At 53.6% G+C, this 20,569-nt stretch overlaps 1 protein-coding gene and 1 long non-coding RNA gene across 3 annotated transcripts in view, besides 6 other annotated features; one reads left to right on the top strand and one right to left on the bottom strand.

Annotated features, from left to right (window-relative positions):
* The window catches only part of DLGAP4-AS1 (DLGAP4 antisense RNA 1), a 65,574-nt gene that overhangs the window by 13,220 nt on the left and 31,785 nt on the right, over positions 1–20,569 (top strand). The window lies entirely within an intron of this gene.
* On the bottom strand, positions 8,609–18,537 carry MYL9 (myosin light chain 9). Of its 2 annotated transcripts, NM_006097.5 has the most exons (4): positions 18,495–18,537; positions 14,988–15,197; positions 11,863–12,024; positions 8,609–10,979 (listed from the first exon to the last, which is right to left on the bottom strand). In NM_006097.5, exons 2-4 carry the CDS (start codon positions 15,169–15,171, stop codon positions 10,807–10,809), a joined length of 519 nt encoding a protein of 172 aa, NP_006088.2. In that variant the 5' UTR covers positions 15,172–15,197; positions 18,495–18,537; the 3' UTR covers positions 8,609–10,806. The 2 variants fall into 2 exon arrangements, with proteins under 2 accessions (NP_006088.2, NP_852667.1); NM_181526.3 differs by lacking the exon at positions 11,863–12,024.
* Positions 11,572–12,500: an enhancer, noted in NCBI's record as "H3K4me1 hESC enhancer chr20:35175959-35176887 (GRCh37/hg19 assembly coordinates)". NCBI's record gives its function as "activates a minimal SCP1, AML or CMV promoter by ChIP-STARR-seq in naive H9 embryonic stem cells {active_cell/tissue: H9 hESC(naive)}" and the evidence as "EXISTENCE:reporter gene assay evidence [ECO:0000049][PMID:30033119]".
* Positions 15,121–15,774: an enhancer, noted in NCBI's record as "H3K27ac-H3K4me1 hESC enhancer chr20:35172685-35173338 (GRCh37/hg19 assembly coordinates)". NCBI's record gives its function as "activates a minimal SCP1, AML or CMV promoter by ChIP-STARR-seq in primed H9 embryonic stem cells {active_cell/tissue: H9 hESC(primed)}" and the evidence as "EXISTENCE:reporter gene assay evidence [ECO:0000049][PMID:30033119]".
* Positions 15,775–16,428: an enhancer, noted in NCBI's record as "H3K27ac-H3K4me1 hESC enhancer chr20:35172031-35172684 (GRCh37/hg19 assembly coordinates)". NCBI's record gives its function as "activates a minimal SCP1, AML or CMV promoter by ChIP-STARR-seq in primed H9 embryonic stem cells {active_cell/tissue: H9 hESC(primed)}" and the evidence as "EXISTENCE:reporter gene assay evidence [ECO:0000049][PMID:30033119]".
* Positions 16,429–17,082: an enhancer, noted in NCBI's record as "H3K27ac-H3K4me1 hESC enhancer chr20:35171377-35172030 (GRCh37/hg19 assembly coordinates)". NCBI's record gives its function as "activates a minimal SCP1, AML or CMV promoter by ChIP-STARR-seq in primed H9 embryonic stem cells {active_cell/tissue: H9 hESC(primed)}" and the evidence as "EXISTENCE:reporter gene assay evidence [ECO:0000049][PMID:30033119]".
* Positions 17,083–17,736: an enhancer, noted in NCBI's record as "H3K27ac-H3K4me1 hESC enhancer chr20:35170723-35171376 (GRCh37/hg19 assembly coordinates)". NCBI's record gives its function as "activates a minimal SCP1, AML or CMV promoter by ChIP-STARR-seq in naive and primed H9 embryonic stem cells {active_cell/tissue: H9 hESC(naive and primed)}" and the evidence as "EXISTENCE:reporter gene assay evidence [ECO:0000049][PMID:30033119]".
* Positions 18,517–18,716: a silencer, noted in NCBI's record as "silent region_12872". NCBI's record gives its function as "represses an Ori minimal core promoter by ATAC-STARR-seq in GM12878 lymphoblastoid cells {active_cell/tissue: GM12878}" and the evidence as "EXISTENCE:reporter gene assay evidence [ECO:0000049][PMID:35858748]".

The raw sequence follows: 20,569 nt of genomic DNA, 5'->3' as shown, positions 1-20,569 counted from the left end.
GGGATTACAGGCACATGCCACCACACCCAGCTAATTTTTGTATTTTTAGTAGAGACAGGGTTTCACCATGTTGGCCAGGCTGGTCTCAAACCCCTGACCTCAGGTGATCTGCCTGCCTCAGCCTCCCAAAGTGCTGGGATTACAGGTGTAAGCCACTGTGGCCGGCCAGGTTTTCTTGTTTTTAAAAAATTATTTTTAGTTTTGACACAGAGTCTCTGTTGCCCAGGCTGGAGTTCAGTGGCGCGATCCCCGCTCACTATAGCCTCAACCTCCCAGGCTCAAGGAATTCTGCCTCAGCCTCCCAAGTAGCTGGGACTACAGGCATGCACTAACATGCCAGGCTTTTTTTTTTTTTTTTTTTTTTTTTTGAGACGGGGTCTTGCTCTGTCATCCAGGCTGGGGTGCAGTGGTGCGATTTTGGCTCATTGCCACCTCTGCCTCCCGGGTTCAAGTGATTGTCCTGTCTCAGCCTCCCGAGTAGCTGGGATTACAGACACGCGCCAGCATGCTCGGCTAATTTTTGTATTTTTAGTAGAGATGGGGTTTCACCATATTGGCTAGGCTGGTCTCCAACTCCTGACCCCAAATGATCTGCCCGCCTTGGCCTCCCAAGTGTGAGCCACCACGCCCAGCCTCATTTTTCGTTCTCAAAGGTGAGGAGTACTTATGATTCTGTTTCTGAGGGTCTCCATCCTTAGAGCAGGAGAAATATTGGAGGTTTTTGGCCGGGGTAGTGATGTGGTCAGACGGCCTTGGAACGCGCAACCCGAAATGGCCCTGTGGAGGGTGGAGGAGAGGGTCAGGAAGGCCAATTAAGAGGCCATTGCAGGTCATGTAGTTACATGCTTGAAATTTATGCATTTTTCCATACATGAATTATGCTTCAAGTTTTGTCTTTTTTTTTTTTTGAGACGGAGTCTTTCTCTGTTGCCCAGGCTGGAGTGCAGTGGCGTGATCTCGGCTCACTGCAAGCTCCACCTCCCAGGTTCATGCCATTCTCCTGCCTCAGCCTCCCGAGTAGCTGGGACTACAGGCGCTCGTCACCACGCCCGGCTAATTTTTTGTATTTTTAGTAGAGACAGGGTTTCACTGTGTTAGCCGGGATGGTCTTGATCTCCTGAGCTCATTATCCACCCGCCTCGGCCTCCCAAAGTGCTAGGATTACAGGCGTGAGCCACCGCGCCCAGCCTGTTATTGTTTTTTTTTGGAGAGTAGAGTTTTACCATGTTGCCCAGGCTTGTCTTGAACTCCTGAGCTTAAGGGATTGCCTGCCTTGGCCTACCAAAGTGCTGGGATTACAGGCGTGAGCCACCGCGCCCAGCCCATGCTTCAATTTTTTAAAAAAGACTATCACAGCTGAGCACGGTGGTGGCTGCCTGTAATCCCAGGAACTCAGGAGGCTGAGGTCGGAAGATCACTTGAGGCTAGGAGTTTGAGACCAGCCCCGGCAACGTGGCAAGACTCCATCTTTATTTAGAAAAAAAAAAAAGTGAAAATCACAGTGCTCCATGTAAATAAAGTTTAAAGCTCAGATCAAGGGGTTCTGGGCCCAGTGGGAACAGTATGACAAGTCTGGTGACTTGAGTAGGATTCTGGCTTAGAGCTTTCCAGAGTTTGAAGAGGGGTTGGGTGAAGGTAGGGGCCGACATGGGGAGAAAATCAAGTCACACTTGAGAACTGAAGGTAGAAATGTCTGAATGAGACTTAGAGCCCTTGCCGAATGAATAAACTGACTCCGTAGCTCTGGGGGTCCTGCTAGGAAGGGGAGCCAAGTGAAGGCCTGACACCCATCCTTAAGTGTTGTGGCTCGGAGAACTGGGACGGCCCTCGTGGACCACTTGGGGAAGGCATGAAGGGTCTCTGCGGGAGGAAGTCATTTCTTTATATTCCCTCCCTCCCTCAGATACTCTCCTTATCTGTTTGTCTCTTCTCACAGATATGACTGGGGCTGGGGGTACAGTGTCCCAGTGACAACGATCTGACCCACCTGTCTTTGAATCTGGTTCTGATGTTCCCTAGCGGTATGATTGAGCCTGGATAGGTTGCATTGCCTCTTTGAGCCTCTATTTCCTCATCTGTTAAGTGGGGATGATATCCAGTTTGCTGGCATAAGACTCACTTACCCTTTTCCCCCTTTCTAAAAAATGCCTTCTGCAATTTAATTTTAATTTTAATTTTTGTTTTTGTTGTTTTTTGGAGACACAGTCTCGCTCTGTCACCCAGGTTGGACTGCAGTGGCACAATCTCAGCTCACTGCAGCCTGGACCTCCCAGACTCAGATGATCCTCCCACTTTAGCCTCCTTAGTAGCTGGGACTACAGGCATGCACCTTCATGTCAGATTAATTTTTGTATTTTTTGTAGAGATGGGGTGTTGCCATGTTGCCCAGACTGGTCTTGAACTCCTGTGCTCAAGTGATCCGCCTACCTTGGTCTCCCAAACTGCTGGCATTGCAGCTGTGAGCCGCCTTGCCTGGCCTATTCTGCAGCTTCCCTGCCGTCTTTTTTTTTTTGAGACGGAGTTTTGCTTTTGTTGTCCAGTGCAATGGCGTGGTCTCGGCTCACTGCAACCTCCACCTCCCGGGTTCAAGCGATTCTCCTGCCTCAGCATCCCAATTAGCTGGGATTACAGGCATAGGCCACCACACCTGGCTAATTTTTTGTATTTAGTAGAGATGGGGTTTCACCATGTTAGTCAGGCTGACCTTGAACTCCTGACCTTAGGTGATCCACCCGCCTCAGCCTCCCAAAGTGCTGGGATTACAGACATGCACCACCGCGCCTGGCCTTTTTTTTTGAGACTGAGTCTTGCTCTGTTGCCCGGGCACTCCACTCACTGCAACCTCTGCCTCCCAGGTTCAAGTGATTCTCTTGTCTCAGCCTCCCTAGTAGCTGGGATTACAGGAGCCTGCCACCATGCCCAGCTAATTTTTGTATTTTTAGTAGAGACGGGATTTCACCATGTTGGCCAAGTTGGTCTGGAACTCATGACCTCAAGTGATCCGCCCACCCCAGCTTCCCAAAGTGCTGGGATTACAGGTGTGAGCCACCATGGCCAGCCTTCCTTACCATCTTATAACATGCCCATATTGTGGATGGAAGAGAATGGTGCAAAGTGGGGCCCTTGGGCACCCCAATATAACATGCCCATATTGTGGATGGAAGAGAACGAGTTAGGCTCTTGAGGGCTTCATAGGCCTGGGGCTGCTGGTCCCTTGAGATTGCTTTCTAGCATCTTGCAGTTTGGGGGACCTTACAGGTGCCAAAGAGGCCATCCGTTGTCTGGGAAAGCAGACGGGGCCAGGAATTCTGAGCATCGCGGCCCAAATTCGCTGGGTGACCTTCGTCGTCCCCTAGTGGTGAAGTGTGGCAACATCATATCCGGCAGGAATGGGTTTTGTGGCTTTGTGCCAGATTTTGTTGACTTTTGCTGCAGGTGCTGGGTAGGAATTCCCTCAGTATATTTTTTGCACTGTGGCTTGCTTTTTAGTTGCTGTTATTTGCTTGGGTGCAGTTCTCGTATTTGCTTTTACACCATTATATTTATTGAATGGGGCTTCAGTTGCCAGCAAATCCTGTGTGTTTTGTTACTATATACATGTTGAGCATCCCTGATCTGAAAATCCAAAGTCTGAAATTCTCCAAAATTTGAAACGTTTTGAGCACCAACATGACGCCACGAGTGGAATATTCCATAATTCACCATGTGTGACGGGTCACAGTCAAAACTTTGTATTGTGCACAGAATGATTAAAAATATTGTATGCCAGCCTGGGCAACATGATGAAACCCCGTGTCTACAAAAAATACAAGAATTAGCCAGGTGTGGTGGCGCACACATGTAGTCACAGTTACTTGTGGGGGCTGAGGCAGGAGGATTGCTTGAGCCCAGGGTGTCAAGGCTGCAGTGAGCCATGATCGCACCATTGTACTCCATTCTGGGTGACAAAGATAGACCCTGTCTCAAAAAAAAGATCTCTGGGTATTTGCGGCGCGTCCCATCTGGCTCCACATCCTTCTCCTTACCTTGCCCCATTCTCTAGCCCAGAGACCACGGGCAAAGTTCCTCCTTCAGTTTGGCTTTGTTCTTTTTTTAAGATAGAGTTTCGCTCTGTTGCCCAGGCTGGAGTGCAGTGGCGCGATCTCTGCTCACTGCAACCTTTGCCTTCCAGGATCAAGTGATTCTCCTGCCTCAGCCTCCCCAGTAGCTGGGATTACAGGCATGCACCACCACGCCCGGCTAATTTTGTATTTTTAGTAGAGACAGGGTTTCTCCATGTTGGTCAGGCTGGTCTCGAACTCCCGACCTTAGGTGATCTGCCCACCTCGGCCTCCCAAAGTGCTGGGAGTACAGGCATGAGCCCCTGCGCCTGGGCGATTGGCTTTGTTTTTTCATCAGTTAAAGGTAATGACCAGGGTTCCTCCTGAATTCCAGATAGACCTCAATCAGTTCTTGTGTCCTTTCTCCATCCATGCTTGTCCTTATTGAGGTTTATTCATCAGGTAGGACCCTGTTAATTTCAGGTACTATCTTATATAAGCTTCACTCTTTCTCTCTTCCCAGTCAGCGTGGCCCCATCTCTTCCTTGTCCTCCTCACTTGCATATGACACACTGCATTCAGGACACAAGGCCATCAATATGTCCCCAGGCACTACCTCTAAGCCCCACCTCACCCTAGGAATCCACTCTTGAGGGTTTTGAATGGGTCCTTGGCTATGTATGAAGAGTCCCCTGGGCAATTCTGCAGTGGTTAAGTCTGCATGTTTTAAAATTACACTGAAGTTCTTGGGCGATACTCTCATCCCATGTCTTTTCTCCCTCATATTGCTTTTGATATGCAGCCCTGTTGAGGTATGGACATTGAGTCCTGCATGGTATCCACAGTATGCATTCATCACGTTTCACTTACTGATTTTCCTCTTGATAGATAAGTAGGTCCCCTCCAGTTCCCTGTTACTGTCAGTGCTGCCTCAGTGAACTGTTCCTGCCCCTTCTGGGCCTATGCACAATTCCTCTGGTATACGTTTCCAAGTGTGGAGTTGCTGCATCAGAAGGGATTTGCTTGCTCACAGGTGCTGCGTGGTTGCTGTCCTGCACTGGTGCGCCAGTCTGTCCTCTCATCGCCTTAGGATTCTCTGCATCTTTTCCAATGGTATCATCCCTCTCTCCAAATTTTGACAATCTGATGGGCATAAAGTGGCTTCTTATTTTTAATTTGCTTTTCTTTCTGACTGCAGTTGTCCCTTCATATCTGCAGGTTCTGCATCCATGGATTCAACCAACTTCAGATAGAAAATATCATGAGGCAGGAGGATCACTTGAGCCCAGGAATTTGAGACTAGTCTGGGCAACATAGGGAGACTGCCTCTACAGAAAAAAAAAAAAATGAGCGGCGCAGTGGCTCATGCCTGTAATCCCAGCACTTTGGGAGACCGAGGCAGGCAGATCACCTGAGGTTGGGAGTTTGAGACCAGTCTGATCAACATGGTAAAACCCCGTCTCTACTTAAAATACAAAATTAGCCAGGCATGGTGGTGCATGCCTGTAATCCCAGCTACTCAGGAGGCTGAGGCAGGAGAATCGCTTAAACCCAGGAGGCGGAGGTTGTAGTGAGCCGAGATTTCGCCATTGCACTCCTGCCTGGGCAGCAAGAGCGAAACTCCATCACAAAAAAAGAAAAAACCAATAAAAATAACAATACCACCAAAAAACAATACAGTAAGGCCAGGTGTGGTGGCTCACACCTGTAATCTCAGCACTTTGGGAGGACGAGGTGGGTAGATCACCTGAGGTCAGAAGTTCGAGACCAGCCTGGCCAACATGGTGAAACCCAGTCTCTACTAAAAATATAAAAGTTAGGTGGGTGTGGTGGTGTGTGCCTATAATCCCAGCTAGTCTGGAGGCTGAGGCAGGAGAATCGTTTGAACCCAGGAGGTGGACATTGCAGTGAGCCGAGATCGCACCACTGCACTCCAGCCTGGGTGACAGAGCGAGACTTTGTCTCAAAAAAGAACAACAACAACAACAACAACAAAATACTTTCACGGACTCTGGTGTTTTCCCCCATCTGTCTATCTTTCCTTTTTTGTTTATTTATTTATTTATATACTTTTAGAGACAGAGTCTCCCTCTGTCACCCAGGCTGGTGTGCAGTGGTGCAATCATAGCTCAGTGTAGCCTTGAACTTCTGGTTTCCAGCGATCCTCCCGCCCCAGCCTCTTTTCTTTTTTTGAGACGGCATCTCACTCTGTTGCCCAGGCTGGAGTGCAGTGGCACGATCTCAGCTCACTGTAGTCTCCACCTCCCGGGTTCAAGTGATTCTCCTGCCTCAGCCTCCTGAGTAGCTGGGACTACAGGTGTGCCCCACCACACCTGGCTAATTTTTGTATGTTTAGTGGAGATGAGGTTTCACCATGTTGGCCAGGCTAGCCTCGAACTCCTGACCTCGTGTGATCTGCCTGCCTCGGCCTCCCAAAGTGCTGGGATTACAGGCGTGGGCCACTGAGGCTGGCCTGATTCTCTGTTTTGTTTCTGGCTCTTGACCAAGCTGTTTCTCATAGCTGGCAACAATGATTTTATGATCTCTTAGTTTATCTCCATCAGGACGGTGGGGGTCTGTTTTTTATCTAGAGAGAGATGACAGGAAACCTGATTTGTTAGGTTTTTTTGGTCGTTATTTTGCATGTTTGTGATCTCAAGTCACTTAAGGAAACACTGAAAGGAGAAAGCCCATTGAGATGTGGATCAGTGAGTTTTTGTGTTTTTTGGTTTAACTTGATGTATGAAAGACTGTAGAACTGAAGCTTCCAAGTTTCTGTATCTATATGAGTTTGAAATGTTTTTCTACCACCATAGTATATCAAATTAAATTATAATGTCTCTTAAATTTTAAGATCTAGGCCGGTTGCTGTGGCTCACGCCTGTAATCCCAAGCACTTTGGGAGGCAGAGGTGGGTAGATCACCTGAGGTCAGGAGTTCAAGGCCAGCCTGACCAACATGGTGAAACCCCAGCTCTACTAAAAATACAAAATTAGCTGAACATGGTGGTGCGTGCCTGTAATCCCAGCTACTTGGGGAGCTGAGGCAGGAGAATCACTTGAACTTGGGAGGCGGAGGTTGCAGTGAACTGAGATCACACCACTGTACTCCATTCTGGGTGACAGAGTGAAACTGAGTCTCAAAAAAAAAAGTTTAAGATTCATTTTGATTCTATTATAAGGTCTAATGAGGCTGCCAGAAAGATAAGGAAACACAAAAATTTTCAGAAAATAAATGGAATTTCTAATGTTTTAAAAGTGCTAGCCTTTGGAGGAATTTAAAAAAAGGACTCTGTCAGGTGTGGTGGTATGTGTTTGTAGTCTTAGCTACTTGGGAGGCTGAGGCAGAAGGATCACTTGAGGCCAAGAGTTTGAGGCCAGCCCAGGCAACAAAGCGAGACCCCATCTCTACCAAAAATTTAAAAATTGGCTAGGTGCAGTGGCACATGCCTGTAATCCTAGCACTTTGGGAGGCCAAGGCAGGTGGATCACCTGATGTCAGGAGTTCGAGACCAGCCTGGCCAACATAGTGAAACCCCCTCTCTACTAAAAATACAAAAAGTTATCCAGGCGTGGTGGCGGCTGCCTGTGATCCCAGCTACTCGGGAGGCTGAGGCAGGAGAATCGCTTGAACCTGGGAGGTTGCCGTGAGCTGAGATCGTGCCATTGCACTCCAGCATGGGCAACAAGAGTGAAACTCTGTCTCAAAAGAGAAAAACCACAAAAATTAAAAAATTAAGGCCAGGTGTGGTGGTTCACACTTGTAATCTCACCACTTTGAGAGGCCAAGGTGGGAGGATTGCTTGAGCCCAGGAGTTTGACACCAGCCTGGGCAACATAGCAAGATCCTCTCTCTACAAAAAATAAAAAATTAGTCAGGCGTGGTGGCACAGGTCTGTAGTAGCAGCTGCTCAGGAGGCTGAGGTGGGAGAATTGCTTGAGCCCAGGAGTTCTAGGCTGCAGGGACCTATGATCACACCACTGCACTCCAGCCTGAGCAACAGAAAGACCCAGTCTGAAAAAGCTAGACAAATACTAGGAAAAAATAGAAAATTTTACAGTTTTACAATGATGTTGAGCACTTAAAAATGTATTTGGTGAGTATTTAAAATGTTCTTATTAAGTGTATGTATTTTGGCCGGGCGTGGTGGCCCACCCCTGTAATCCCAGCACTTTGGGAGGCTAAGGTGGGTGGATCACAAGGTCAAGAGATGGAGACCATCTGGCGAACATGGTGAAACCCTGTCTCTACTAAATATACAAAAATTAGCTGGGCGTGGTGGCGCACACCTGTAGTCCCAGCTACTTGGGAGGTTGAGGCAGGAGAATCACTTGAACCCGGGAGGCGGAGGTTGCAGTGAGCCGAGATCACGCCACTGCACTCCAGCCTGGGAGAAAGAGCGAGACTCTGTCTCAAAAAAAAAAGAAAAAAATAAGTATATGCATTTCTTCTGAGATTCCTTTTCATGTTACCATTTTTTTCCTACGGCGTTGTCTTTTTCTGATTCAATTACTGAAGCTTTATATAGATTAGTGTTAACTCTTGTTTTGTTAAATATGCTGCAGGTATTTCCTCCCAGAATGCATTTGGCTTTTAATTTTGCTTATGGTTTCTTTAGCTCTACAAAAAGAATGTTGACTTCATGCATTTAAATCTGCCAGTATTTTCCTTTGTGGCTTCTGGGTTTTGTGCTAGACTTGGAAAGTTCCGGGGGTCCTTTACTGCTGGTCTGTGGGTGCTGCAGGTCCTGCCTTGCCCTGCCCAGAGCACGTTCCTCTTCCCTTCCTGTGGGTCAAGGTAGCCCCCAGGCCAGTTCTGAAGCCAGTGAGGCTGGACTGGTCCTGACCTCTTCCCGCCTGTGTGCGAAGCTCTTCCGTCTTCCGTCTCGGGGTGAAGGTGGGGTGAACTGTGACAGAATCGCACGCTGGGGCTTGACATCTAGATGACGCGTCCTTGCCTCCTTCCAGAAATGCCTTTGGTGCTGCAGTGGCTCTGCTGAGAGGACCTTATGACCCTGGTGTCGGGCATGTGTGGCCAGTACCCTGGGACACTCTGAGACCCCCCTCCCACACCCTTGGGGCTGGCAGCATCGAATGGGTGGCCAGACTGAGAGTTGCCCAGGGCCGTGTGTGTAGCTGGAGGCCTGCAGCCTGCTGCCGGGGGTGAGAATGTGTTTGGGACTGAGTTTGGGATACTATTTGGGCCTGGTTTGGAACTTGTTCGGGTCTCGCCCCTTCTGGAGTTGATACCAGGGACTTTTGGGCCTCTGTTTGGAGCCAGGATGAGGAGTTTCAGCCGAGCTCTGAGCAGGGCCTGGCGTTGAGGCCTGCAGGAGGTTAGGGCCTCCTGGTCAGGCACAGGGTCCCCTGGTGCTCAGCTCCCCCTTGGCCCTGATCTGGGACCTTTGCTGAGTGCTGCGGCTGCCTGCGCTGGGTGACCTCTGGAGAAGGCCTCAGGACCAAGCTGGGTCCACTCGCTGGGGTCAGGTGGGGTGGGTCCGGCCCTCACTCTTCCCTAGGCCTATTGGGTGACCCAGGCAGTCCATGCCCCTCTGGACTCTCTGCTCAGTCATTCAGCGCTCTTTCTGCCCCTCTTAGGCCCCAGGCACTGCCATCAGTGTCCCCATCATCCACCAGTAGCAGGGGTCCCGGCCCTGCCTGCCCTGCGTACACAGGGACATGGAAAGCTGTGGCCCCCATGCTGTTGGTCCTGGGGCTGAACTCGCCCTCCACCTGCCTGGGGCTGGGAAACCCCTCATTCCCACCTCCAACCCTGAGCTGCTGGGACGCCTGCCTCATCACTGTTGGAGCCTCCCTGTTCTTCTGGAACCCGGAGCTTTAGTCCTGAGGGCTGTGTGGCCTGACCTCTGCCCCCCAAGAGGCCTGGAACCCTCCACGGGATTGGCTGTGGTGATTCCCATGGTCCTCCCTTTCCCACAAGCCCTGAGAAGGCCATGAGGCCCATTCCCTCCGTCCCCTGTCCCCTGCTGGTCTCAGCTGAGCACAGAGCCCACTTACTAGGGACTCTGGTCCCTAGAGGCTTCAGGGACCATATGGCCGGAGGACACCCAGTCCTTCCCTGGGCCAGGGTGGGAGGAGCAGGGCAGTAACTGGAGATGGCAGGAGAAGGTGGGAGAGGGTTTCAGGCCCGGGGTCCCCTTACTTCACCCCAGCCACAGACACACAGACCAGAAGCAGTGCTCAGTCCTCTATTGGAGATTCTGCCCCCTCTGGGACAGATGTCCACGCTGCCCGCGACTCCTGAGCACACTCCCATGGCGGGTGGCGTGCTCTGGGTGGGTGTGCGGCAGTGGCCGGTCAGGGTGTAGGGAAGGGGACTGAGAGGGGACCTTGGTGAGCTTGCATTTGTGTGGGGATACACGTGAAGGGGTGTCTGATCCCAGGACTCAGGGCCTCTTCCTCCTGGGGGGCACACAGAGCCCCTTCCCTTCCTCCTCGGGGAACAGCCCCGGAATGGGGCCTTCCCTTGGTGCCTCTAGGTCCTGCCCTCCAGCCCATGTCCCCAGAAGGTGGTCTTTCCTTGGAGGGGTCAGAGACTATAGCCCAGGGCTCTGGGGTCACTGTGGGAACATCTGCCTCAGCTCGGCACGCACTTCTCCTGGCCTGTTTCTTCCACTGGGAACTGGGACCCTAACCCCTCAAAGGGGGATCCCTGAGCGAGGGTCATGGGCAGGGAGCTGGTATGGACGGGTGTGTGCGGGGAGGGGTGACTGGCGGGGGCTGGGGTGTCAGGGGGCTGGGGTGGCCTAGTCGTCTTTATCCTTGGCGCCATGTTTGAGGATGCGGGTGAACTCCACGTAGTTGAAGTTGCCTTTCTTATCAATGGGTGCCTCCCGGTACATCTCGTCCACTTCCTCATCTGTGAAGCGGTCACCCATGGTGGTGAGCAGCTCCCGGAGGTGGTCCTCATGGATGAAACCTGCGGGCAGGGGCAGGGTGGGTGAGAGCAGGAACTTGGGCTGAGACATACACAGCAGCCCCATCCCTCAGCCCCCTGGCAGCTCTTGCAGACCTAGAGGGGCTGGGAAGATACAATCTTAGTCTCTGGTCAGTCTGAGGAATGAGGACGTGGCAGGAGGGGTGTGGGGGTGCACGTGAAGGGGTGTCGGATCCCACGTGAAGGGGTGCCAGGGTCCTGAGGGGAGGAGTTGTGCAGTGGGACTGTCTCCGAGGTGTCACTTGGGGAACTTGAGGCTGTGCACACAGATGGTGTTGGGTGTGCCCTGTTTTAAGCGTGAGCTCTGGAGTTCCACTGCCTGAGTTGCAGTGCTGATTCCCATTCTCCCTAGCTATGTGACTTTGGGCAAGGTCCTTAACCTCCGTGTGCCTGTTTAATCTAGAAAACAGGGATGAACGTATGCCATTGCAGTGAGGGACCGTGAAGGTAGTCAGGCCCGTGCGGGCCCATGGCCATGTTACCATGGCCATCATCACCCTGACATGTCCCTGGGAAAAATGAGCTGAGGGATGGAATATCCGTTAGGAGATCCGAGGAGGGGGGCCAGTTTCTATACCTTCTTGGCAAGAAAGGCATGAAATGGTTTGATTTCTGGAAAGGTCTAAAACAGATGGAGAATGTGCATTGGGCCAGCGGGGGAGATCACGAAGGCAGGAGTCTTGGGGCATGGGCTGTTCTGGCCTAGCCTTTGCGGCGACAATAAGGAGGTGGCCTGGCTTTTATAGTTCTGGTGACAGAACCTGGGAGATGGGTGATGTCTGTTCTGGCCCTTAGGGGCAGAGGCACTGAATGCCTGGGCCCTGTTCCACTTGCATGCAGAGTGGTGGTAGGGGGCGCCACGGACCTGAGGCTTCCTCGTCGAAGCAGGCAAAGGCGTTGCGAATCACATCCTCGGGGTCCGTGCCGTTCAGCTTCTCCCCAAACATGGTGAGGAACATGGTGAAGTTGATGGGCCCCGGGGCCTCGCTCATCATGCCCTCCAGGTATTCGTCTGTGGGGTTCTTCCCTGTGGCAGGTGGGGTGTTCCAGCCTGTGGTCCTGGGCCCTCTGTCCCCAGCTGGGACAACTTGCACCCCCGTCCCCCACCCCTGCCCTTCACCGCTCCGTGTGAGACGGGAGGTAGTGGGTTTTGTGAACTGGAAAGCATGGCTCTAGCGCAGCCACAGCAGTGGGCGCCCGGAGTCCCTGGCTGCTCCCACCAGTTTCCTCCTGTGGCCTGGATGTCAGCAGCCGGCAGTGCTCACTAAAGTGTAATAAGAACAACCCTCTGCAGACTGCTCGCTGTGGCTGGTCGACCACGTGCCTTATTGCATTTAACTTTCACCACCCTGTGAAGTCAGCATTCTTACCCACTTCACAGGTATGGAAGCTGAGGCACAGAGAGGCCAGGTGACTTGTCCAGGGTCAGACAGCAAGTAAGGAGGAGACTTGAGTAGACCTGGCATTTGAACCCAGGCAGCCTAACTCCAAAGTCCAGACACAGTGCTTTGCTGTCAGACAGGCCTGGGTTTGGATCCCAGCTGTGCACCTTGGTTTTCCCCATCTCTTAGGGGAATTGTGAAGACAGTAGTTGCAAAAGGCTCATAACAATGACTGGCACAGGCCTATGGACTGGAATCAACTGCTGGGTTTCTATTGCAGCCCCACTACTTGGTAGCTGTGTGACCTTGGGTAAATTACTTAACCTCTCTGAGCCTCAGTTTCCTTGTTTGTAAAGTGGGAATAATTGTATCTGTTCAATAGGATTGCTTTGAGATTTAAGATAATACCTGCAGGGCTTCTTCTTATTATTATATTTGCTGCTCTTGTTTTTAACTTGAAGATAAGGGTGTGACTCACCTGCAGACCCACGGATATGAGCTACAAACACAGTGCATGTTTTTCTGGGTGGACACCCAGGGCTGTCATGAAGTCTCAGGGGTTCAGGGGCCTGGGTGCAGGGTGTGGCCTTGGAAATAGGAAGTTTTCATGTCCCTGAGCCTCACATACCCTGCTGTGTCCCCCTGGGATGGCCATGGAAGCTGAGGCCCAAGAGGAGCTGTGACGCCAGGACACTGGGGTACTTAAGGCCAGCCCCTTCTCTCACCAGGCCTCAGTCCTTCCACGAAGCTGGGAAAGCCCCAGATAAGAACCCTGGAGTTGGCCAGGCGTGGTAGCTCACACCTGTAATCCCAGTACTTTGGGAGGCCAAGATGGGCTCTGGAGTTTGAGACCAGCCTGGCCAACATGGCGAAACCCTGTCTCTACTAAAAATACAAAAATTAGCCGGGCATGGTGGCGCACGTCTGTAATCCCAGCTACTGGGGAGGCTGAGGCAGGAGAATCTCTTGAACCTGGGAGACGGAGGTTGCAGTGAGCCGAGATGGTGCCACTCCAGCCTGGGCAACAGAGTGAGATTTTGTCTCGGGGGGAAAAAAAAAGAACCCTGGAGTTTACTTCCTGCCAGGTGACCTCCTGGGGGAGGGAGCCTTCAAGCGAGCCTGGCCAGAAGCGGGGAGAGGTTTGGTGCTCAGGGCCGGGGGCAGCGTGCTGTCAGTTCTCCCACTCAGGTTTGCCTGGTTCTCCTGCTCAGTGCCTCGTGGGGAAATGTCAGGGTCATGGCCCCATTTCACAGGAAGAGGAAAGTGCACAGGGCCCTACCAGGGACTGACTCTCTGGCCTCAAAGCTCGAGGCTTGACTGTCACGGGGCTGTGTCCTCTGGTCCTGGACTCTCCCTCCCCCAGGCAGTGTCTGGTCTGGATGCTGTCACTCGGCATGAGGGGTACGCGGGAACTGGGCTGAGAGTGGCTGGCTGTGGCCAGCACTTTGGGAGGGATGTTGGGGCAGGCCCGTGGGTTGGGGCATGGTCTGTGGAGGCCTTGCCTCTGGGCCTGTGTTTCCCCATCTGCAGTAGAGAATTGGACTTGATTTTTGTACCCTGTTAGTTCTAAGGTCCTGATCCTGAGGAAGTCACTGGGACCAGAGAGGCTATGAGAGCCTGAGATGGGTGACCTCTGAAGGAGGGGAGCTGGTCTGGCCGCCCCTCTAGGCCTCAGTTTCCCCATCTGTGCAGTGGGCAGCCTGCAGTTCACACTTTCATTTAGATGCTGACCTCTTTCTTTCCTTTCTTTCTGTTTTGAGACGGAGTCTTGCTCTGTCGCCCAGGCTGGAGTGCAGTGGCGTGATCTTGGCTCACTGCAAACTCCGCCTCCCAGGTTCACACCATTCTCCTGCCTCAGCCTCCCGAGTAGCTGGCGCCCGCCACCACGCCCAGCTAATTTTTGTATTTTTAGTAGAGACGGGGTTTCACCATGTTAGCCAGGATGATCTCGATCTTCTGACCTCGTGATCCGCCCGCCTTGGCCTCCCAAAATGCTGGGATTACAGGCGTGAGCCACAGCGCCTGGCCAGCTGACCCCTTTCTTTAAATGAAATGATACCTGGCAGCCCAGTGCACAAATCTGCCTAAGACAGGCCCACTGTGGAGTCAGCCTGTCTACGTTCAGACCCTGTGGTGGACCTGCTTTGTGCTTCAGTTTCCCTGTTTTTTTTTTTTTTTTTGAGATGGAGTCTCGCTCTGTTGCCCAGGCTGGAGTGCAGTGGGGCGATCTCGGCTCACTGCAACCTCCGCTTTCCGGGTTCACGCCATTCTCCTGCCTCAGCCTCCCAAGTAGCTGGGACTACAGGCGCCCGCCACCACGCTCGGCTAATTTTTGGTATTTTTAGTAGAGTCAGGGTTTCACCGTGTTAGCCAGGATGGTCTCGATCTCCTGACCTATTGATCCGCCCGCCTTGGCCTCCCAAAGTGCTGGGATTACAGGCGTGAGCCACCGCGCCCGGCCCAGTTTCCCTGTTGAATGGACTAAGTTAATGGCAACTATTCTCTAAGGTGGACACCACGCGTCTCACTACACAGGAGGTGCCCTGTAAATGATTGGCAGAGCCTGCCTGGCCTCATCCATCTCACCCCTGTCCCTGTCCCAGCTCACCCAGCGAGGCCAGCATGTCGTGCAGGTCCTCCTTGTCAATGAAGCCATCACGGTTCTGGTCAATCATGTTGAAAGCCTCCTTAAACTCCTGGATCTGGGACTGGTCAAACATTGCGAAGACATTGGATGTGGCCCGCTGTGGCCGCTTCTTGGTGGTCTTGGCTTTGGCCCGCTTGCTGGACATCTTGGCTTCTGGTGGGTGGGGCTTCCCTGCAGGAAGGGGTGGGGGTTGGGTGGCCCTGTGACTCTGGGCCAGGGAATCTTCCTGCCTCCCCCAGACTGGCTTTTAGCACTTCGGCCTGGCATTCAAGGCTGCCCACGGATTTGGGGCTCCCACCACCCAGTTCTTCACAAAAGCAGACAAGTGTGGCTGTGTGATTCTGAACAACTTCCTCTACCTCTCTGAGCCCGAGAGTCTTCATCTGGGACTGGAGACATGAGGAGTGCCCAGCAGTAGGGATTAACTGACTCAGTGCCCGAGAGCTCCTGGAACAGTGCCGGGCATGGAATCAGCTATTTTGGCTGTGACTGTTTGGGTAAAACACTTAGGATTGGGCTTGGTGCCAACCATTACCATGCTTTATCTCCTTTAATCCTTAATAGCATTTACACTGTCCCTCTCTCTTTCCAAGTGACAAGGTGGGTCCACTCGTGGGAGTCAGTGAGGGCTCTCCTGGGCTGCCATCCAGGCTCCCTGGCCCTGCAGGAAGGAGCTGGATCAGCATTCCTGCATTCCTGCCGTTCCTCACTCTCCCACTCCATCCCTCTGCTGCCCGCCTGAGGTTCTAGGAGGCTCTGGGCAGTCAAACCCCCGCCTGTCCACCTCAGGGAGCTTGACCAGCCCCCCAGTGGTGAGTGGTCACAGACTGATCCTGGGTCCCACTCCTTGTTCTCACTCCCCACTGCTTATCGGGGTGTGAGGCTTGCTTGGGCTGAGAACCCCAGCTTCTTCACCCTTGCTTAGACCTGGCTTCTTAGCCTCCAGCCGGCCTCTTCTGTCCCATACAGACCCTGACCTACACCTATCATTGTGAAGCCCTTGAAGGTTCCTGCCGCCCCTCAGAGCAAGTCTGGGTCCCTCATCCTGGCATTCAAGGCCCTGTGTGAGTCCCTCCTGGCCTCTCTGACAGCCCTCGTGGTGTCCCTCTTGTGACCCACAATCCTACCCTTCTGACCTCTGCAGTTCCCTGGACACTCCCAGGCTTTCCTCTGTGGTCCCCTCCTCCCCTGTGCTCTTTCTTCTCCAGCCCAGTTCTTGAGACCGCCCCCCTCTCCTAGGGAGCTGTTCCCTGTACCCTTGCTTCCACAGTAAACACTTAAAGATCTCTCTCCCTTGTGGGCCAGCATAGATCCCCCAGTTTACACCAATCCCAGGCCATAGTTGGGCTAACAGATGCTTGTTTGATGAATGACTATATGAAGGCAACTACGGCCAGTCTGCTGCTTCTACTGTACAGATGGGGAAACTGAGACCAGGCCTGGGACTGTTTCCCTGAATGCTTGCCACAGCTTGTGGGGATATGCGCCTGAAGACCCAGTGCCTCCTTCCCTCGGCTGGGGCAGTGGGCCTGGCTGAGGTTCCAGGACTGCGGCCCCTCTTCCCTCTGCCCAAACCCCCGGGCCCAGGGCCTCCAGGAAGCCTCCTCTGCCTGTTGTTCACCCCAAGCTGTGTGGTTGCAACTTGAGCTGTTTCCAGGCCTTCCTCCCATGACTCTGTTGAAGTCATTCTCGGTCCTTGGCCTTTGAGATCATCAACCCTGGACTGGGATCCCGGCCAGCCCCAGCTGGTCCCCAGGGCCATCACTGCCTGTAGTCATGAGACAGTGGTTGCCCGTGTCCCACGGACCGACACACCCAGCCCTCAGTGTTTCTTGCATGGTTCAGGAAGGTAGACAGAATTCCTTCTCACCCATGACCTAGTTGGGAGTGCCATTGTCCCCAGATGCCGGCCCCCTCCTCTCCCGTGCTTTAGAGGGGCCTAGTCCTTCCCTGAGTCCAGTGTTCTCGGGAACTTTGACTCCTGGTGCCCACAGAAGGCTGCATGCAGAGAGGCAGTGCACTGTGCCCAACAGAGGCTGTGATGGCCATCACTGTCCCCACCACACTCTATGAAGCTCTAGGGCAGGCATGGCCAGGCCACCCACAGCTGGGTCTGAGCCCAGCTGGGCCCCTCTGCCTTCATGGCCACCCGGTCTGCACTCTCTGCTGTGGTGTGGCTGGGAGCACTGTACTTAAGGGCTTGCACAAGGCCGCCATGTCCACCCCAGCAATTGTGGGAAGTGGTGAGCGGAGGCAGGGGTGCCCCCATGGTGCAGCTAGGAAAAGAGGCCCCAGAAGGGGAGTGGAGTGCCCATGAGAGGGGGAGGGGCCACCTGGAAGACAGGATTCCTGGGCTAGGTTTGGGTCAGTGGAGAGCAAACTTGGCTGCTGGTGCCCTCGAGGCTTGAACAAAACAGGGAGCCCCAGTCCTCAGGCGGGCCTGTGGCAGTGGAGTGGGAAAGGGCTCTGTGTATCCAGAGGCGCCTTCTAGAACTGGTGGAGGGGCGAGGGGCAGGCATGGGTGGGGCCTTTAGTTCTGAGGCCATCGCTTCCCCCTTCAGGTGCCCTAGACACCAGGGGTCAGCACTGATACTTGGCCTGGATGTGACTGGATGCCATGTCCCCCATCCTGGTGTCCAGATTCCCACCATAACAGAAAAGGCTGGGCTGAAGCCAGCACAGGGCAGTGCCCCCATGACCTCCAGCCCCTGGAGCTGGGCAGGCCAGATGCCTCCTTCTCAGTGCACCTCATCTGAGTCTCCTCCTTAGAGCAGCTGGAGGGCTGGGAAGAGCAGGGATCAGGTTCTCCCAGCCACTAGTCCTCGTCCTGCCCCCTAGGGGTGAGTCCATCAGGGCCCTCCGCAGACCTTCCCCACCCACAGGCGAGATGACCCAGAGAGGGGAAGGCCCGGGTCCCTGCATACAGCACTGGCTGTGTCGGAAGGGCCCCCTGGTCTCGGTCCCTTTCCCCTGGCCCAGGGTGTAGGGATGGGAGATGGGGAGGGGACACAGATGCTGTGGGGGCGTGGAGTCCCACAGGGCTGTTTCTCCATCTGTGACACACATGCCTTTACTGGGCCAGGGGGAACTGACGACTGCAACCCTCTCCCCAGCACCCTTGTACCCGGGCTCCCCAGCCCCCCCCGGAGCTCTGGGCTTGGCATCTCCAGCTCCTCAGCAAAGGGGCAGGGCCTGGACGATGGCCTTCCCTTGCCGCAGGACCACTGCTTCTCAGAGGCCAGAACAGCCTTCCTGCTGCCCGGCCCCTGGCCAGAGTCCCTGTCGGCCCCCAGCAAACTCGCTGCCCCAGCTCACCCCTCAGTCCGTGCCCAACAGACCCTACCACGTCCCAGTCCGTGGGGCCCGCCTTTGCCCCCCGTGACAGCCGGGTCGGGCCCGGGCCACCTCTCATCTCCAGCCCTGGGCCGTTAGGCCTGTCCTCAAGACCCCCGGGGCCCCGGATCCCACCTGGTGCGGAGAAGGCGCTTGGGCTCGCTGGGTGCGTGGAACTGGGCCGGCCGTCGGGTCTGGACTCCAGGCGGGGGCGGGGCGTGGCGGCCGGGCCTTACAAGGCAGAAGAATGTGCGCGGGGCGGGGCCGCGGGCGGGGTGCGGGGGCCCTCGGCTGCCGTCCGGCCTTATTTGGCCTCGACCCACGGGCTGGCAGGCGGGGGCGCTCTGGGGTGAGCCCCCCTTCCTTGCTGTGCCAGCCCGGGCTGCACAGAGGGCCTTGTAGGGAGGGGAGGTGATGGGGTGAGCAGGCAATGGGAGAGGGGGTGTGGGGGTTCGCTCTGGGCCACCCCTTCCCCTCCAGAGAGGCAAACGGAATGTCCAGGGCCGCTTCCCCAGAGGCCTCCCACTTGTATGGGCCGTGGGAGTGCAGCTTCCCCTGACGGGCAACGGCTCTCGACGTGGGGAGGGCAGAGGCGGTGGGTGGGGGGGCTCCCAGGGACCCCTACGCCCGGTGACTCGCTCTGTCCACATCAGCGGTCGCCCGCCAGAGCGGGGTTGAAGGAACCACTCGGGAAGCACTGGTTTCGTGGAGGGAAACACGATGAACAAGTAGCTCCGCGGCCTGGGGCCTCAAAGGAGAAGGGGACCTGGGGGGAGCGTGGGCTGTTCCGCAGGGTGCTCTGGGCAGTGACATTGGGCAGACAGGAGGTGCAGGGGTGCGCCCCGCCGTGAGGGCTCCCGGGCTTGGGGTCGCCGGCAGCAGGAGGTCAGGAGGATGGGGGCGGGAGCCGGAGGGGCTGAGAAGCAGCAGGGACCCCTCTGTGGCTCCCTGTAGGCCATGTGGGGTGTCGGAGGGTTCCGAGCAGGGGGTGACGACCTGGCTTGGGTTTTGACGGAATCCTTCTGGGTGATGTGTTGAAAATAGCGCAGAGGGGGCCGAGTCCACGAGCAGGGGACCTGTGAGGAGCGACCCAGCAAGGATCAGGCTGATCCGGACTAGCGGGGAGGCCGAGGGACAAGTGCTAAAACTATTTCCGAGGTGCAGCCGGTAGGATCTGCTGGGGCATGGGAATGGGTGTGAAAGAAAAGAGTTAGGGTGGACTCTCAGAGTTTTGATGTGAGCAACGAGAAAGAGCTGCCATTTTCTATGATGGGTTTGCTGTGTGGAGCAGTTTGGGGATAAGAAACTCTATTTTGGACAGATTAATTTTTAAAAACTTTATTTTGAAATGATTTCAGACTTAGGATAAAGTTAGAAGAACTGTGCAAAGAACCCTGTATAGCTTCATCTAGATTCTCCATTTGTTACCATTGGGTTTTATTATATTTTCTTCTTGCTTTCCATATACATATACATATATATAATACATGTACATACATTTATATTTATTTATTCCTACCCCCAACCATTTGAGAGTTTCTTGCATACGTATGTCCTGTTATCTCTACATGTTTCAGTGAGTACCTCCTAAAAAGGAGATTCTCTTAAATATGCATAGTACAATGATAAAAGTCAGGACAATTTTCACATTGATTTAATTACCTAATTTACAGTCCATATTCAGGTTGTGCCAGTTATCCCAATAATGTCCTTTAGAGGAATTTTTTCTGGTCTAGGAGCCAAAGTAAGATCATTTGTCATCACATTTCTTCAGTGTCCCAGTTTTACATTTTATTTTTTGATTGTGGTAAAATATACATAACATAAAATTACCATTTTCAGCGTGTTTTTTTTTTTTTTTTTTTTTTTGAGATGGAGTCTCCCTCTGTCGCCCAGGCTGGAGTGCAGTGGCGCCATCTCAGCTGACTGCAAGCTCCGCCTCCCAGGTTCATGCCATTTTCAGCATTTTTAAGTGTATAGTTTGGTGGCATTAAGTATATTCACTTTGTTTTGCAACCATCACCACCATCCATCTCCAGAGCACTTTCATCTTCCTCAGCCGAAACTCCCTGCCAGTTAAACACTAACTCCACCTTGCCCCCTTCTCCCCGCCCCTGGCAGTCATCATTCATCTTTCTGTTTTCTGTGAGTTTATCTACTTATTGGGGCCTCATGTAAGTGGAATCATATAGCATTCGACCTTTTGTCAC

This window comes from Homo sapiens, chromosome 20 (genome assembly GCF_000001405.40).
Source record: "Homo sapiens chromosome 20, GRCh38.p14 Primary Assembly".
NCBI classification, from domain to species: Eukaryota; Metazoa; Chordata; class Mammalia; order Primates; family Hominidae; genus Homo; species Homo sapiens.
The sequence above is the reverse complement of the archived record's forward strand: the minus strand, read 5'-3'. Positions and strand labels throughout refer to the sequence as shown.